Below are 15971 nucleotides of genomic sequence, written 5' to 3'. Positions count from 1 at the left end.
GCGGCGACCCCGGAAGTCCCCGCCGGGTGCAGCTTGGTCGGTTCGATCGCCGCCGGGACCTGACACCGCCCGGAGTTGGCGTCCCTTCTCCCTCTCCGAGTGCTGCTCCTGTCATTGTGGCCATGGACGGTAAGAGGTCGCGGCCGTCCTCCGGGGACTCGCGCGCGGGGCGGGGCCGCTTCTCCCACTGGCGTGGGCTCCGCCCACCTGGGGCCGCGGGCAGGACTCAGGAGAGCTCGGGCCTCGACCGTCGATCCCCCGGGACCCCATCCCCAGGGCCTCGACCACCGACCTGGGACCCCTTTTCCCGGTCGTCGTCCCCCGATCCCCGACCCGGACCCCATCCCCAGGGCCTCGACCACCGACCTGGGACCCCTTTTCCCGAGCCTCGTCCCCCGATACCCGACCCGGAACCCCTTCCCCAGGGCCTAGACCACCAACCCGGGACCCCTTTTCCCGGGCCTCGACCCTCGATCCCCGACCCGGAACCCCTTCCCCAGGGCCTCTACCACCGACCCGGGACCCCTTCTCCCGGGCCTCGACCCCCGACCACCGACCGGGACCCTTCCCAGGCCCCCGACCCCCAACCCGAGATCCTTTACCCCGGGCCTCGACCCTCGACCCGGGACCCCTCCCCCCAGGCCTCGATCCCCGACCCCCGATTCGGGACCCCTTCCCCGGGGCCTCCATCCCCAAATCTCAACCCGGTATGCCTTCCCCGGGGCCTCGACCTCTGACCCCCAACCATGGACCCGGGACCTAGACTCCCGACCCAGGACCCCTTGCCCAGGGCCTGGACCCCCGACCACCGACCCAGGACCCTTTCCCCCGCCCCTGGCACTCCTCAGCGTCAGGCGCCCTTTCCCGCCAGCTCGGTAGGGGGGACTGTGCGATGCCTGTTCGGCCTTTCGGGACTTGGAATGTCGGGTCAGAGGGCACCAGAAAAAGTGACAGTTGCACCCCCTGCCCCAAACAGCATCACTGCAAATCAGAAGGACTCAGACAGAAAGCGCTCCCTGAGTGCCAGGCCCTGGTCACAGCAGCTCTTTGCGTCCATTCTCCATGTGGGGAAGCAGAGGTTTGAGCAGGAGCCAGCACAAGCGTTTCTGTGCTCAATGGGTCGCCCTAATTCTTACCTTCTACATCTGGGGCTAGCCGGCTGTGTGCTCAGGGATACCAAAGAACAGGAAGAATCTGGCAAAATGAAGTCCTATGTTTGCTGAAACATCGTTGGGCTGGTGTGATGGGCAGGCTTTTAAAAATACTTTTTGAAGGGCTGGGCGCGGTGGCTCACGCCTGTAATCCCAGCACTTTGGGAGGCCGAGGCCGGCGGATCGCAAGGTCAGGAGATCGAGACCATCCTGGCTAACACAGTGAAACCCCATCTCTACTAGAAATACAAAAATATTAGCCAGGCGTGGTGGCGGGTGCCTGTAGTCCCAGCTACTCGGGAGGCTGAGGCAGGAGAATGGCGTGAACCCGGGAGGCGGAGCTTGCAGTGAGCCGAGATCGCGCCACTTCACTCCAGCCTGGGCGACAGAGCGAGACTCCGTCTCAAAAAAAATTCTTTTAGTTAGAAGTGTGAAAAGCTATAGTACCACCGTGTCATCATCATGAAGGAAATGTGTAGAGATTTTCTGCCCTGAGAGAAGATGAAAGATAACATCTACCTCCCGCCACAAAAAATATGCTGGCCAGGCCGGGTGTGGTGGCTCAGGCCTGTAACCCCAGCACTCTGGGAGGCCGGGCGCGGTGGCTCACGGCTGTAATTCCAGCACTTTGGGAGGCCGGATGTGGTGGCTCACGCCTGTAACCCCAACACTTTGGGAGGCCGAGGTTGGTTGATCACCTGAGGTCAGGAGTTTGAGACCAGCCTGGCCAACATGGTGAAACCCCGTCTCTTCTAAAAATACAAAAATTAGCTGGGCCTGGTGGCGTGCACGTGTAATTCTAACTACTTGGGAGGCTGAGACAGGAGAATCGCTTAAACCTGGGAGGCAGAGGTTGCAGTGAGCCAAGATGGTGCCGTTGCACTCTAGCCTGGGTGATAGAGTGAGACTCCGTCTCAAAAAAAAAAAAGAAAAATTGTGGCTTTTCACTCCACAGCTCACTCAACTCTTTTGAGGGGACTTCTCTCAAGCCCATGTCAGATTTCCTCAGAGTCAGATTTTGCCTTAGCTGGGTTTTTGTGCTGCCACACACGGCTGGAAGAGAAAGCTGAGGTGAGGAAAGCTGAGGTGAGGGAAAGCTGAGGTGAGGAAAGCTGAGGTGAGGAGAGCTGAGGTGAGGGAAAGCTGAGGTGAGGGAAAGCTGAGGTGAGGGAAAGCTGAGGTGAGGGAAAGCTGAGATGAGGAGGGCGGTTTGGCCAGCATCCCACAGTGAGTTGGGTGGGACGGCCCGCCTGGCCTGCACTGTGCCATCTGGGTCAGGCTGGCTGTTTTCCAGTCACAGATAACCTTGGCCGTGACCACACCTGAACTGATAGATGACAGGTTGAACTTGGCCTTGACCACGCCTGCACTGACAGGCGATAGATTGAACGATGCCCAGAGCTTTCTGGAACCCCGGGAGATCTCATCTTGGAGCCTTGGTGTGCATTTGTGAACACTCAGTAACCTCATTCTTTTACAGGCTCCATTTCCTCGTTGTGGCTAGTGTGGTAAAGCCCTTTCAGGAATCTGGGGTCAGGGTCGCTCTCCAAATTTAGCAGTTGAATGAATTGAGATCAATCCTACTTTTTAAAAAAAATATTTTTTCTTTTTTTTTTTGAGACGGAGTCTTGCACTGTTGCCCAGGCTGGAGTGCAGTGGCGCAATCTCGGCTCACTGCAAGCTCTGCCTCCCGGGTTCACGCCATTCTCCTGCCTCAGCCTCCTGAGTAGCTGGGACTACAGGCGCCCGCCACCACGCCTGGCTAATTTTTTGTATTTTTTGGTAGAGACGGGCTTTTACCGTGTTAGCCAGGATGGTCTCGATCTCCTGACCTCATGTTCCGCCGGCCTCGGCCTCCCAAAGTGCTGGGATTACAGGCGTGAGCCACCGCACCCGGCAAAAAAATATATATTTTTCTAATAGAGATGAGGTCTGACTATATTCCCTAGGCTGGTCTGGAACTCCTGACCTCAAGTGATCTGCCCGCCTCAGCCTCCCAGAGTGCTGTGATTACAGGCGTGAGCGACTGTACCGCTGGAAATCAGCTCTTTGATGTCTAAGAGTTACCACCTTGCTATTTTTATCCATTTACCTTTGAGGAGAAAGAGTCTGTAAAAAGTAAACTGTCAAGTACTGAACTTTTAAATTGGCCCAGGCTGGCCTCAAACCCTGGCTTTAAGTGATCCACTGGCCTCGGCACCCCCAGAGTGCTGGGATTACAGGTGAACTTTTAAATTGGGAAAGAATCCCAAGGGACATTTGCAAAGTTGCATTAATTATAAACCACCATCTTTTGGATTCTAACCATGGCCAAAAGATGCTGCGTCCATGACCTCTTCTGTCCTCACACTAACCCTTTGAGATTGGCTGGTACCACCCTCATGTTCCCAACAAGGAAACAGGGAGGGAGGGTCTGCATTTGCTGGGCCCTGTGGCTAGCAAGGAGCCAGGGCTGGCACACGAATCTGTCTCGTGCCTCCCCTGTTGGGGGGGGCTCCCCGAAGGCCCCAGGCAGGTGTGGTCTGTGTGTGTGTTCTAGCTCCTGGTGTCTAGAAGGAACCTAGTGAGTCCTGCCTGCCAGAAGTGTAACGTCCCATTCCCAATCCTCAAACCATTAATTCCCTCTTTCTTTGCAGATACCCTGTTCCAGTTGAAGGTATGTACCGAATGGCCGTTCACCCCAGCCCTGTTCTGGTGAGGACAGATAGTATAAGCCACGCTCACTCAGAGCCACAGAAACAGTCGGGCAGATTATATAACAGTTGAGTGACCGCCACACAGGGCTCAGACTGCTGACCAAGGAGGGGATTATTGAGCCACCTTGGTGACATATTAGCTCTTTTCTTATCTGAGGCTAAGTGGAGGCAGATCCTTAGGGTCATCCATGAAAGCCATGAAAGAAATAGTGTTATCTTTTTTTTTTTTTTTTTTTTTTTTGAGACGGCGTCTCACTCCGTCGCCCAGGCTGGAGTGCATTGGCGTGATCTCGGCTCACTGCAACCTCTGCCTCCCGGGTTCAAGCGATTCTCCTGCCTTAGCCTCCTGAGTAGCTGGGACTACAGGCGCCCACCACCATGCCCAGCTAATTTTTTTTTACATTTTTAATAGAGACGGGGTTTCACCACGTTGGCCAGGATGGTCTCGATCTCTTCACCTCGTGATCCGCCTACCTCGGCCTCCTAAAGTGCTGGGATTACAGGCGTGAGCCACTGTGCCTGGCCCGGAGTGTTATCTTAAGAAAGACAACTTGGGGCCAGGCGCGGTGGCTCACGCCTGTAATCCCAGCACTTTGGGAGACCGAGGTGGGGTGGATCACAAGGTCAGGAGATGGAGACCACAGTGAAACCCCATCTCTACTAAAAACACACAAAAAAATTAGCCGGGCGCGGTGGCAGGCACCTGTAGTCCCAGCTACTCAGGAGGCTGAGGCCGGAGAATGGCGTGAACCTGGGAGGCAGAGCTTGCAGTAAGCCAAGATTGTGCCACTGCACTCCAGCCTGGGTGACAGAGACTCCGTCTCAAAAAAAAAAAAAAAAAAAGAAAAGAAAAAAAAAAAAGACAACTTGGGCATTAGGCCTTGGTGTTCCGCTGTGTGGACTCATTCTTTGAGATCATTTGAAGGAGAGCTTTCTGAGTATTCCTCCCACGTGGGGTGGAGGTTGCAGCTTCCGGTAATCCAGGGCAGGTTTCCGTGCATTTCCCTGGGATGTGCTCCTGGCTGCTCATCTGTGGCCAGCTTTATCTTGCCTTGTCGCTGGCTCTGAGCTACTGGGCAGGAGTGATGTGCCGGAGCTACCGTATGCAGCTTTGGGATGTTTTCCCATCACGGTGGGCCTGTCAGTTGCTGTTGGGCACAGAGGGGACCGGCTGAGGCCTGCTTGTGTCCTGCACCCTGTGGTGCTGTGGTGGCCAGGGCTACCTGGTACCAGGGCGTCTGTGGTTCCAGATGGGTTGCCAGAGGCCCTGTTTCCTCGAGGTGCTGGTGGCCAGGGCCACCTGGTACCAGGGCGTCTGTGGTTCCAGATGGGTTGCCAGAGGCCCTGTTTCCTCGAGGTGCTGGTGGCCAGGGCCACCTGGTACCAGGGCGTCTGTGGTTCCAGATGGGTTGCCAGAGGCCCTGTTTCCTCGAGGTGCTGGTGGCCAGGGCTACCTGGTACCAGGGCGTCTGTGGTTCCAGATGGGTTGCCAGAGGCCCTGTTTCCTTGAGGTGCTGGTGGCCAGGGCTACCTGATACCAGGGTGTCTGTGATTCCAGATGGGTTGCCAGAGGCCCTGTTTCCTTGAGGTGCTGGTGGCCAGGGCTACCTGGTACCAGGGCGTCTGTGGTTCCGGGTGGGTTGCCAGAGGTCCTGTGTCCTTGTGGTGTTGCCAGAGGCCCTGTTTCCGTGTGGTGCTGGCAGAGCAGTTAGATCCCCGGAAGCTGCTTGTGCTGCCCAGCAACCTCCTGCATCCACAGCATTCTCTCGAGATAACACTTTCAGGTGTGTTTTTACCTGGAGTTCTGTGTTATGACTTGGGGGTAGCCTGAAATGAGTTTCCTTCAGTCTTTCTTTGACGTTGAAAAGCCATCCATAAGCAGGAGCCGAGATCAGAGTGAGAGGTTTTTGACCCTTCCGCTCTGGAGGAGGCCTTGGGTGAGGCTGTTCACAGAGAAGACAGACACTGGAGAAAACCCAGACAGAGCCTGAGGCAGAGCAGGCAGCTTCCTCCTCCAGCTGGTGCCATCTCTCGCCGCCCAGGATGCACGCCCACAGGCTTCACGCCTTCCCTGCGGTGTGCTGGGCCCAGGCTGGCTGATGGGGGCTTAGGAACCTGTGTGGGCACAGGTGTGGGCACAGGTGTGGGGGTGTGGAGAGCCGGGCCTGGGGGATGGGCTCCGCATGTCTGACCCAGGACATTCCGGCTTCCGCTCAGTTCACGGCGAAGCAGCTGGAGAAGCTGGCCAAGAAGGCGGAGAAGGACTCCAAGGCGGAGCAGGCCAAAGTGAAGAAGGTGAGACCCTGGGGGCTGTGGGGTCATGACTCTCCTGGTTTGTCTTCTGTCCTTTTCTGCCCTTATTTTTGTGTCCTGTTTTGTTTTGATGCCTTTTGGGGAGGGGCAGGGCACTTTCTACATCATGATTTAATCGTCACCTTGAGGTACATATATATATATATTTTGTTTGTTTGTTTGTTTGTTTGTTTGTTTTTTGAGACGGAGTCTTGCTCTGTCGCCCAGGCTGGAGTGCACAGGTGCGATCTCGTCTCACTGCAACCTCCGCCTCCCGGGTTCAAGTGATTCTAGGGCCTTCGCCTCACACGTAGCTGCGATTACAGGCTTGCACCCAGCTAATTTTTTAATTTTTTTGTAGAGATGGGGTTTCGCCATGTTGGCCAGGCCGGTCTCGAACTCTTATCCTCAAGTGACCCACCTGCCTTGGCCTCCAAAAGTGCTGGTATTGCAGGCATGAGCCACTGTGCCCAGCCTAATCCTCACTATGATTTCTGAGCCTCAAAGTATTTGCTTCCCACATAAGACAAACAGGCACTCAGGAAGGGAGGTGCTGTGTGTGGTGCAGCCCAGAATGGTTTCTGTCCCTGCCCTACAGCCCCTGCCAGACCTTCCCAGCCCACTGAGGGCGTCCAGAGCACAGAGATGAGTGCATTGCCTTCATTGTTTTCCTTCTTTGCATTTCCAACATTCTGAACTTGATTTTGCCATCTGCAGGAGGAGGGCTGCTAGCTAGCTGTCTGCCACGATCCTATCTTTTTTTTTTTTGAGATGGAGTCTCGCTGTTGCCCAGGCTGGAGTGCAGAGGTGCGGTCTCGGCTCACTGCAACCTCTGCCTCCTGGGTTCGAGTGATTCTCCTGCCTCAACCTCCTGGGTAGCTGGGATTACAAGCATGCGCCACCACACCTGGCTAATTTTTGTATTTTTAGTAGAGATGGGGTTTCGCCGTGTTGGCCAGGCTGGTGTCAAACTCCTGACCTCAGGTGATCCACCTGCCTCAGCCTCCCAGAGTGCTGGGATTACAGGCATGAGCCACTGGGCCCAGCGGATCCTATCATTTTTAGCTCTCTCCTCCCTACAGAGCTGGTGTCTAGGGCATCAGGGTCTGGGCAGAGTCATGATGCCCCTGCCCCATGGGGTGGGATGGGGCTGGAGGCTTACAGGGGTGCCTCTCCAGGAGGGGTCCCCTCCCCATGATGGACAGGGCAGAAGGAGAGGAGGGATCTAGGCCGGGCGCAGTGATTCACACCTATAATCCCAGCTACTCGGAAGGCTGAGGCGGGAGAATTGCTTGAGCCCAGGAGGTGGAGGTTGCAGTGAGCCGAGATCACACTGCTGCACTCCATCCTGGGCCACAGAGCGAGATTCCATCTCCAAAAAAAGAAAAAAAAGAAAAGAAGGTAGGATCTTGTGCAGCTCTTAAAACTGCGTAATCGGTGAAGTAGGTCCCAGCGTATTGGACTTTGGTAACTCTTCACCCACAGCCAGGCTCCCAGGGAGAATGGAGCTCGGAGAACTGCCTGCCACAGGCTCTGAGTGTCACCCGCTGTGTCCCGTGCCCAGTGGAGTGCTGGAGGGGTGCGGGGGGAAGCAGAAGCCTGCTTGGGGGGCTGGGCTGGGGCCTGGGTGTTTGCATTTTTAGCTCAAACATTTCTGGGGAGAGGCCCGCCCACCGCCTCAACACTGGGCTCCTAGGGCCGGGCGCGGTGGCTCACGCCTGTGATCCCAGCTCTTTGGGAGGCCGAGGCGGGCAGATCACGAGGTCAGGAGATCGAGGCCATCCTGGCTAACACGGTGAAACCCCATCTCTACTAAAAATACAAAAAAATTAGCCAGGCATGGTGGCGGGCGCCTGTAGTCCCAACTACTCGGGAGGCTGAGGCAGGAGAATGGCATGAACCTGGGGGGCGGAGCTTGCGTTGAGTCGAGATCGTGCCACTGCACTCCAGCCTGGGCAACAGAGCAAGACTCCGTCTCAAACAAAACAAAACAAAACAAAACAAAAACTGGGCTCCTAGCAGGGGGCACACACACCACCAAGCTCTTCCAGCTGCTTTCCCCCGCGGGTTTCAGGCCCTTCTGCAGAAAAATGTAGAGTGTGCCCGTGTGTATGCCGAGAACGCCATCCGCAAGAAGAACGAAGGTGTGAACTGGCTTCGGATGGCGTCCCGCGTAGACGCAGTGGCCTCCAAGGTGCAGACAGCTGTGACTATGAAGGGGGTGAGTGCTGGGCCCTGGTGCTGGATGGGTGGCGTTCGCTGGCTGAAGCAGGAATGGGCTCTGCGGTCTGGATCTGGGGCAGCTCAGAGTTGACGGAAGGTGGATCAGCGCGGGGTGGGGAGGTTGAGGGAAGCTGGATCAGCGTGGGGTGGGGAGGTTGAGGGCTGGATCAGCGTGGGGTGGGGAGGTTGAGTTAAGCTGGATCAGCGTGGGGTGGGAAATGCTGGCAGGGACACAGGTGAGGCTGCACCCTGAGCTTGCACTGATGCCCCAGGAAGGACCTCTTGATAAGACTTGGGCTTTTTTTTTTTTAAATATATATTTTTTAGAGACTGTCTTGCTCTGTCACCCAGGCTGGAGTGCAGTGGTGCAGTCACAGCTCACTGCAGCCTCAACCTCCTGGGCTCAAGCAATCCTCCTGCCTCAGCCTCGCAAGTAGCTGAGACCACAGGCATCCACCACCATGCCCGGCTGATCTTTTCATTTTTAAGTAGAGACAGGGTGTCTATGTTGGCCACTCTGGTCTCAACCTCCTGGGCTCAAGCGATCCTCCTGCCTCAGCCTCCCAAGTAGCTGAGACCACAGGCATCCACCACCATGCCCAGCTGATTTTTTTCATTTTTATGTAGAGACAGGGTGTCTATGTTGGCCGCTCTGGTCTCAAACTCCTGGCCTCAAGCAATCTTCCCACCTCGGCCTCCCAAAGTGCTGGAATTATAGGCGTGAACCACTCACTGTCACTGTACCTGGCCAGGCCTCGGTCTTGGCAACTCCCACAAGAGGCAGAGCCTGCATGGCCAGGCTCATCTGCTGGGTCAGGGACGTCACAGCAGAGCCTTGGCTGTTGCAGGCATTTCCTTCACACAGTGCAGGTGGGCCAGGAGGGCACAGCAGTCCTGGAGACCCCACGTCGGCGGCCTTTTCTCCACCGACCCCGCGCTGGGTCCCCACGTCGGCGGCCTTTTCTCCACCGACCCCGCGCTGGGTCTCCACGTCGGCGGCCTTTTCTCCACCGACCCCGCGCTGGGTCTCCACGTCGGCGGCCTTTTCTCCACCGACCCCGCGCTGGGTCTCCACGTCGGCGGCCTTTTCTCCACCGACCCCGCGCTGGGTCTCCACGTCGGCGGCCTTTTCTCCACCGACCCCGCGCTGGGTCTCCACGTCGGCGGCCTTTTCTCCACCGACCCCGCGCTGGGTCTCCACGTCGGCGGCCTTTTCTCCACCGACCCCGCGCTGGGTCCCCACGTCGGCGGCCTTTTCTCCACCGACCCCGCGCTGGGTCCCCACGTCGGCGGCCTTTTCTCCACCGACCCCGCGCTGGGTCCCCACGTCGGCGGCCTTTTCTCCACCGACCCCGCGCTGGGTCCCCACGTCGGCGGCCTTTTCTCCACCGACCCCGCGCTGGGTCCCCACGTCGGCGGCCTTTTCTCCACCGACCCCGCGCTGGGTGTCCACGTCGGCGGCCTTTTCTCCACGGACCCCGCGCTGGGTCTCCACGTCGGCGGCCTTTTCTCCACCGACCCCGCGCTGGGTCCCCACGTCGGCGGCCTTTTCTCCACCGACCCCGCGCTGGGTCTCCACGTCGGCGGCCTTTTCTCCACCGACCCCGCGCTGGGTCCCCACGTCGGCGGCCTTTTCTCCACCGACCCCGCGCTGGGTCCCCACGTCGGCGGCCTTTTCTCCACCGACCCCGCGCTGGGTCCCCACGTCGGCGGCCTTTTCTCCACCGACCCCGCACTGGGTCTCCACGTCGGCGGCCTTTTCTCCACTGACCCCGCACTGGGTCTCCACGTCGGCGGCCTTTTCTCCACTGACCCCGCACTGGGTCTCCATGGCCTTTTCCGTCGAGTTGGTGGTCTTTCCATAGGACCCAGATGATGGCTCAGCCCAGAGTTGGGGTTTTGTGGGTCAGGGTTGGGGTGCCCCAGCTCTCCTGTCAGAGTCCAGGGGACCCGTCCCTGGTGCGTGAGCTCCACTTGCCTTTCATCCTGTTCCCTCCTGCGCTCTCTCCTGTCTCAGGTGACCAAGAATATGGCCCAGGTGACCAAAGCCCTGGACAAGGCCCTGAGCACCATGGACCTGCAGAAGGTCTCCTCAGTGATGGACAGGTTCGAGCAGCAGGTGCAGAACCTGGACGTCCATACATCGGTATGTGGCCCCTACCCTTGGGGCTGTGGCCTGGGGACAAGGAGCGTGTGTGGGCAGCTCATCGGGAGGGGTGGCTCACAGGCTGACGTGCTGTCTCTGCATACCTGTGGTTGCTCCCTGACGTCACCAAGCATCCTCTGTGCTGGGTCCCTGCCAGGACCCTGACAGGTAGGGTGGGCAGGGCGGCGGGGGCCTCCTGCAGGCACCTGGCTCCTTGTGGGGAGGCTCGGATGGCAGACAAGCATGCAGAGGTGTGGAAAGATGTCCACCCGCGGCAGCAGGCATGGCACAGTCAGAGGGTGGGGCTGGGTGGGGGGGCAGGAAAGGCTCCTGGTGGAAGGTGAGACAGAGAGAGTCACTGAGAGAACAGGGCAAGAAGGTGGCTGGCTGTGTGAGGGAACGAAAAGTGCAGTCGTACCCTTGTGAAGCTGAGTGGGGCCCCATGGGCCTGGCCCCACCTGTTGTCCAGAGCATGCCCCTGCCCCCAGGTGATGGAGGACTCCATGAGCTCGGCCACCACCCTGACCACGCCGCAGGAGCAGGTGGACAGCCTCATCATGCAGATCGCCGAGGAGAATGGCCTGGAGGTGCTGGACCAGCTCAGCCAGCTGCCCGAGGGCGCCTCTGCCGTGGGCGAGAGCTCTGTGCGCAGCCAGGAGGACCAGCTGTCACGGAGGTAGGGTCGGTCCCCGAAACGCTGTGTCACCAACCCCACGCTCTGGTGCTGTGGGAAGGGAGAGAGGGTTGTGGGTTAGAGGCTGGAGGAGAGCTTGGGCTGAGGCTCCGACCAGGGAGCCCTGATCTCGACTCAGAGGCCCCAGCTGCAGCCGCCCCCAAGCGAGCCGCCCTGCTGCTGCCCCGTCCTGCTCCGGCTGGCGTGGGGGCTTGAGTGTGTGTCAGGCATGGCGTTTACACACGTCTGCAGTACACTTTAGAATACTGCACCCTTCCTAACAGATCAGGTAAGAGTGGGACAGGGCATGTCTGTTTCCAAGGCCTGTCACTCATGTTATCTCAGGACACTGAGGAGGAAAAGGGTCACCTGTGCTGGGAGCACGTGGTGGTCAGAGGCCCCCTTCCCCTGCCCTGACCCGAGTCCTGTTGTTGGTTTCCAGGTTGGCCGCCTTGAGGAACTAGCCGTGCCCCGCCGGTGTGCACCGCCTCTGCCCCGTGATGTGCTGGAAGGCTCCTGTCCTCTCCCCACCGCGTCTTGCCTTTGTGCTGACCCCGCGGGGCTGCGGCCGGCAGCCACTCTGCGTCTCTCACCTGCCAGGCCTGCGTGGCCTTAGGGTTGTTCCTGTTCTTTTAGGTTGGGCGGTGGGTCTGTGTCCTGGTGTTGAGTTTCTGCAAATTTCTGGGGGTGATTTCTGTGACTCTGGGCCCACAGCGGGGAGGCCAAGAGGGGCCCTGTGGACTTTCACCCAGCACTGTGGGGGCCTTCAGACTCTGGGGCAGCAGACATGCTGCTTCCCATCAGCCAGAGGGGGTCAGGGCTGCCCTGTTGCCAAACAACTCCCTGAGGCCTCTCCGCACCACCTCAGCGGGCAGGAGGTCCCACCATGTGGACAGACATAGCCCAAGGAGGCACCACAGGTCTATGTGTGCTGGGGGATGTCAGGTGCCACCCAACGCTGTCCTGGTGGTATTTACAATGACATCCTCCTCCTCCATCACTCCAGGGGTGGTGTCTCGGCCGCCCCTACCAGCTGGCTGAGCCCCCTGGCCTCCTGCGCTCCCTCACTTCCCTCAGTTCCCAAAGCTGCCCAGTCCATGGGGACAGAACCGTCACTCAGATCCACATTCAAGTGTGCCCACCCTGCAGTCTTCATCCTCACTCAGCTGCTGCCTCTGGAGGTGCCTTTGGCCACATGTGCTGTGCTGTTTGTCTCCTCGACAGGGAGCCTGTCCACCAGCAGGCTGCGGTCCCAGCGGGTGCGTCTGCAGCTCCTCCCCTTGGGCAGCCTGGTTCTCCCGGAGGACCTTTCCTTGGGGCCCTGCTTCATGACGATGCTGCCTGTGTCACCCTCTACCATCTGTAAACAACTGGGTGCCTTCCCCGACCACACCCCAATGCCTTCCCAGCTTGGAAGCCAAGGCAGCTGATGAAGGGAGCTCAGGAGAGCCGTCTTCAGCTGGGCTGGGGTTGGGGCTGCTGTGAGGAAAACCTGCCATTGTGGCCCTGGAGAGTCACCAGCAGCTCTTGGGAAGGACTTGCTGGGAGGCTGAGAGAGGCTTTGGGCACAGCCTGCTGTCTTTTCCATTTCCTAAAGTTTACTTCATTGTCTTGAGGCTTCCAGGTTTTGTTTTTGTTTTTGCCAAAGTAGAAAAGGCAGGTGGTGGGCGGCTGGCAGGGAGTGCGGGTCCCCGCCCCTCTTCAGTCCTGCCCTCCCCTCCTCAGTCCTGCCCACCCCGTGCAGCCCATGCTGAGGCTGCAGTGGTGTCGTGGGTGTTACGTGCAGGAACGTGGAGACCCTGACGTGGGCTCACTGCGTTTGGTTTTCTTTTCAGAACTTGGGAGCCCCCAGGGAGGGGCTAGTGTTGGTAGGTCCTAGACGTGGTTCCCTCCAGCCTCCCCAAAATCAACCCTGGTGTTGAGAGAACGTCCTTCTGTCCATCGTGGGTAACAGCCTTGGGGAGGGTGCAGAGCTCTGCAGAGCCATGGGCCAGGTGGGGCTGCCTCAGTCCTGTCCCCTTGGGCACTGAGGAGAGGGGCCCATTCACCTTTCTCCTAGAATGCTGTTGTAAATAAACAAATGGATCCCTGGAAACTTTCTCAAGCTTTGCTTTGGAGCCTTGGGTGAGCCCCTGGATGTGGCCATCTCCCCCAAGCTGAGGAGGGGTTCCTGGAGTGTTCACTGCTAGGGGCTGGGCAGATGGCTATGCTCATTCTCGGGCCCCATCCAAACCGACAATCTCCCATGTTCAGTTCTCTGCTTACTTTGAAATAATTTAAAACTTGCCTAACAGTTGCACAGTACATGGTCTCTGTGCACCTCGGCCAAACCAGGATGCTTGCTGGGCACCGTGGTCCCCCTGAGCCTCTGGTCTGATGGGCACTGTGGTGCTCCTGACGGTCTCTGGTCTGACGTCCCTGCTGCACGTCCTTGTGCTGCCGCCTCCAATCTGGGAGGGTTCCCCGGTTTTCTTCATGACCTGAATGGTTTGAAACCTGCTGGCTGCTATTTTGCAGAATGCTCCTCAGCTTGGGGGGGTGCGGTTTTCCCACGATGCACTGGGGTCTTCATGACTGCTCGGTGGCAGGGGCGTGGTGTCCCTGTGTCTCGGTGCTGGTGACTTTGTGACCTTCACCACTGGGTGCAGTGGCATCTCCAGGCTTCTCCACTGTGAAGTTAGCATTTTCCCTTTTTATTATTTTTGAGACAGAGTCTTGCTCTGTTGCCCACGCTAGAGTGCAGTGGCACCATCTTGGCTCACTGCAACCTCTGCCTCCCGGTTTCAAGCGATTCTCCTGCCTCAGCCTCCTGAGTAGCTGGGACTACGGGCGCCCACCACCACACCTGGCTATTTTTTCTATTTTTAGTAGAGATGGGGTTTTGCCATGTTGGCCAGGCTGGTCTTGATCTCCTGCCCTCTGGTGATCCCTCTGCCTCAGCCTCCCAAAGTGCTGGGATTACAGGCGTGAGCACCTGTGCCTGGCCGTATTTTCCCTTTTTAATTCATGTGCCTCGTGGGAAGATTGTTGAAGACTGTGCAAACCTCGACCCACTTTGCCCTGAGTGTCAGTGTCCATCGACACAAATGAAATCACTGGTTCTATTGGGATTCTAGGGAGGACCCCTCCCCACTCCATTATTTCTATCAGTCTGGACCTGTTTGTTTATTGCGTGGGCTACAATGGTTGCTGTTGCTGACTTTGTGGCTCAGGTGGTGTCGTCTTGAGGGCATTTAGGTCAGCTTTCCATCCACCCTGGCAGTCTTTGAGCACGGCCTGACTCCCAGCACTGCAGGAGGCTCTGGCTTATCTTGGTCTCTCCCTGCCCCAGCCCTGGAAGCAGCCCTTTCTCCAGGAAGCTCCAATTCCTTCGAGTGGGGAATGGTATTTAGAAAACCAGGATCTGGAGGCTGGGCGTGGTGGCTCACGCCTGTAATCCCAGCACTCCAGGAGGTAAGGCAGGAGGGTCCCTTGAGCTCAGGAGTTGGAGACCAGCTTAGGCAACATAGTGAGACCCCCATCTCTACAAAAAATAAAATCAGCCAGGCATGATGGCATGCCCCTGTGGTCCCAGTCACTTGGGAGGCTGGGAGGTTGAGGCTACAGTGAGTTAGGATGACACCACCGCACGCCAGCCTGGGTGAGAAAGTGAGACCCTGTCTCAAAAAAACCAACCAGAAAACCAAGACCTGGGTACAAACCGTGGGCCTCAGTGCTGTGTGCCGCTGGCCAAGAGGCGTCTGCAGCCGCCATGGTGCACAGTGGTACACCCCTCTGCGTGCCCTGGAGCCACAGGTGCACACCGTTCCGTACGATTCGGTCCAGCCTCCCCTCGTTTGTAGCTTCTCTGAAAATTTGGCTTTGGCACACTGCCTTTCTGCTCATTTGTGCACAAATGAATTTCAGAATTGCCACCCACACTCCTGTGAGGGCCCCTAGCTAAAGAACAGCTCCGGGCCAGTGCAGTGGCTCACGCCTGTAATCCCAGCACTTTGGGAGGCCGAGGCGGGTGGATCACCTGAGGTCGGGAGTTCGAGACCAGCCTGACCAACACGGAGAAACCCCGTCTCTACTAAAAATATAAAATTAGCCAGGCGTGGTGGTGCATGCCTGTAATACCAACTACTCAGGAGGCTGAGGCAGGAGAATCGTTTGAACCCAAGAGTCGGAGGTTGCGGTGAGCTGAGATAGCACCACTCCAGCCTGGGCAACAAGAGTGAAACTGTCTCAAAACAAAAAACAAAAAATGCTCTAAGCACTGCCCCCACCCTTTCACAGTGGCTATTACATGGTAGAGCCACTGTTTTTAATTCCAGTAGTAATTAAGGTGCCGCCATCCTGATAGGTCTTCATTATTTTTTGGGGGTGAAGCGTCACTGTGGATGTGGATGTAGAGTGGGAGGGGTTGCGTCCCTCCCCTCAGCTCCAGCCACAGAGCCAGCCCCGTCGCTCCCTGGCACGCCTCCCACATCCTCACGGTCCACAAAGCTCGGGGGGCTTCCCAGAGAGAGAGGGCCCAGAGGGGTGGAGCTTGGGGTCTGCCTGCACCCCAGGATGGGGGTCTGCACCATGGGGAGGCCCCAGCCCCCTCACCCACCTCCATGTCACCTCTTGCCGGAATTCCCAGCTCTCTAGGGTTGGGTGCGCTCCTTCCCAACCTCCTCTGGAAAGGTCTGTTTCCAGCCTGAGGCTGGAACTCAGGATGCGTGAACAATGACCGGCTCGTGGGAAGGACTCTGGGAAGCAGGTGCATTCCTGGGATGCCAGTTAAGGTGCCGTCTTTCTGGACA

General features: G+C 58.0%; 1 protein-coding gene and 1 long non-coding RNA gene across 6 annotated transcripts, besides 6 other annotated features; one reads left to right on the top strand and one right to left on the bottom strand.

The window, feature by feature from the left end:
• On the top strand, window positions 3-13276 carry CHMP1A (charged multivesicular body protein 1A). 5 transcript variants are annotated; one of them, NR_046418.3, is made up of 7 exons: window positions 3-129; window positions 3788-3807; window positions 6065-6142; window positions 8214-8360; window positions 10380-10676; window positions 10997-11184; window positions 11624-13276. NR_046418.3 is itself a non-coding variant. In NM_002768.5 (7 exons), exons 1-7 carry the CDS (start codon window positions 123-125, stop codon window positions 11643-11645), a joined length of 591 nt encoding a protein of 196 aa, NP_002759.2. In that variant the 5' UTR covers window positions 3-122; the 3' UTR covers window positions 11646-13276. The 5 variants fall into 5 exon arrangements, 4 of the variants coding, with proteins under 4 accessions (NP_002759.2, NP_001076783.1, XP_011521400.1 ...); NM_002768.5 differs by having other exon boundaries at window positions 10380-10508; XM_047434195.1 differs by lacking the exon at window positions 3-129 and adding an exon at window positions 3107-3169 and having other exon boundaries at window positions 3691-3807; window positions 10380-10508.
• Window positions 217-276: a silencer, noted in NCBI's record as "silent region_7917". NCBI's record gives its function as "represses an Ori minimal core promoter by ATAC-STARR-seq in GM12878 lymphoblastoid cells {active_cell/tissue: GM12878}" and the evidence as "EXISTENCE:reporter gene assay evidence [ECO:0000049][PMID:35858748]".
• Window positions 4737-4906: an enhancer, noted in NCBI's record as "experimental_46635 CRE fragment used in MPRA reporter constructs". NCBI's record gives its function as "activates a minimal promoter by MPRAs in K562 erythroleukemia cells, with activity observed for both the introgressed and non-introgressed 16:89719298 or rs77884786 variant alleles {active_cell/tissue: K562}" and the evidence as "EXISTENCE:reporter gene assay evidence [ECO:0000049][PMID:34662402]".
• Window positions 4737-4928: a biological region, named in NCBI's record as "Neanderthal introgressed variant-containing enhancers experimental_46628 and experimental_46635".
• Window positions 4759-4928: an enhancer, noted in NCBI's record as "experimental_46628 CRE fragment used in MPRA reporter constructs". NCBI's record gives its function as "activates a minimal promoter by MPRAs in K562 erythroleukemia cells, with activity observed for both the introgressed and non-introgressed 16:89719276 or rs76311593 variant alleles {active_cell/tissue: K562}" and the evidence as "EXISTENCE:reporter gene assay evidence [ECO:0000049][PMID:34662402]".
• Window position 4821: a transcriptional cis regulatory region, noted in NCBI's record as "Neanderthal adaptively introgressed variant 16:89719298 (GRCh37/hg19 assembly coordinates) or rs77884786 in the experimental_46635 CRE". NCBI's record gives its function as "modulates activity of the experimental_46635 enhancer by MPRAs in K562 erythroleukemia cells {active_cell/tissue: K562}" and the evidence as "EXISTENCE:reporter gene assay evidence [ECO:0000049][PMID:34662402]".
• Window position 4843: a transcriptional cis regulatory region, noted in NCBI's record as "Neanderthal adaptively introgressed variant 16:89719276 (GRCh37/hg19 assembly coordinates) or rs76311593 in the experimental_46628 CRE". NCBI's record gives its function as "modulates activity of the experimental_46628 enhancer by MPRAs in K562 erythroleukemia cells {active_cell/tissue: K562}" and the evidence as "EXISTENCE:reporter gene assay evidence [ECO:0000049][PMID:34662402]".
• LOC124903758 (uncharacterized) lies at window positions 13231-15933 on the bottom strand. The gene is made up of 2 exons (XR_007065185.1): window positions 15779-15933; window positions 13231-13850 (listed from the first exon to the last, which is right to left on the bottom strand). It is a non-coding gene; the product is annotated as an uncharacterized LOC124903758 (long non-coding RNA).
• Between the last annotated feature and the right edge of the window lie 38 nt (window positions 15934-15971).

The sequence above is a fragment of the Homo sapiens genome, chromosome 16, assembly GCF_000001405.40.
Source record: "Homo sapiens chromosome 16, GRCh38.p14 Primary Assembly".
NCBI classification, from domain to species: domain Eukaryota; kingdom Metazoa; phylum Chordata; class Mammalia; order Primates; family Hominidae; genus Homo; species Homo sapiens.
This window is presented reverse-complemented; position numbering and strand designations above follow the sequence as displayed.

What these genes read in the sequence shown, in the direction of transcription:
- CHMP1A (XM_011523098.2), top strand. An exon ending in AGCAGGCCAAAGTGAAGAAG is followed by an intron (nt 6,143 to 8,213) that starts GTGAGACCCTGG and finishes CGCGGGTTTCAG; the next exon opens with GCCCTTCTGCAGAAAAATGT. An exon ending in CAGCTGTGACTATGAAGGGG is followed by an intron (nt 8,361 to 9,232) that starts GTGAGTGCTGGG and finishes CACACAGTGCAG; the next exon opens with GTGGGCCAGGAGGGCACAGC.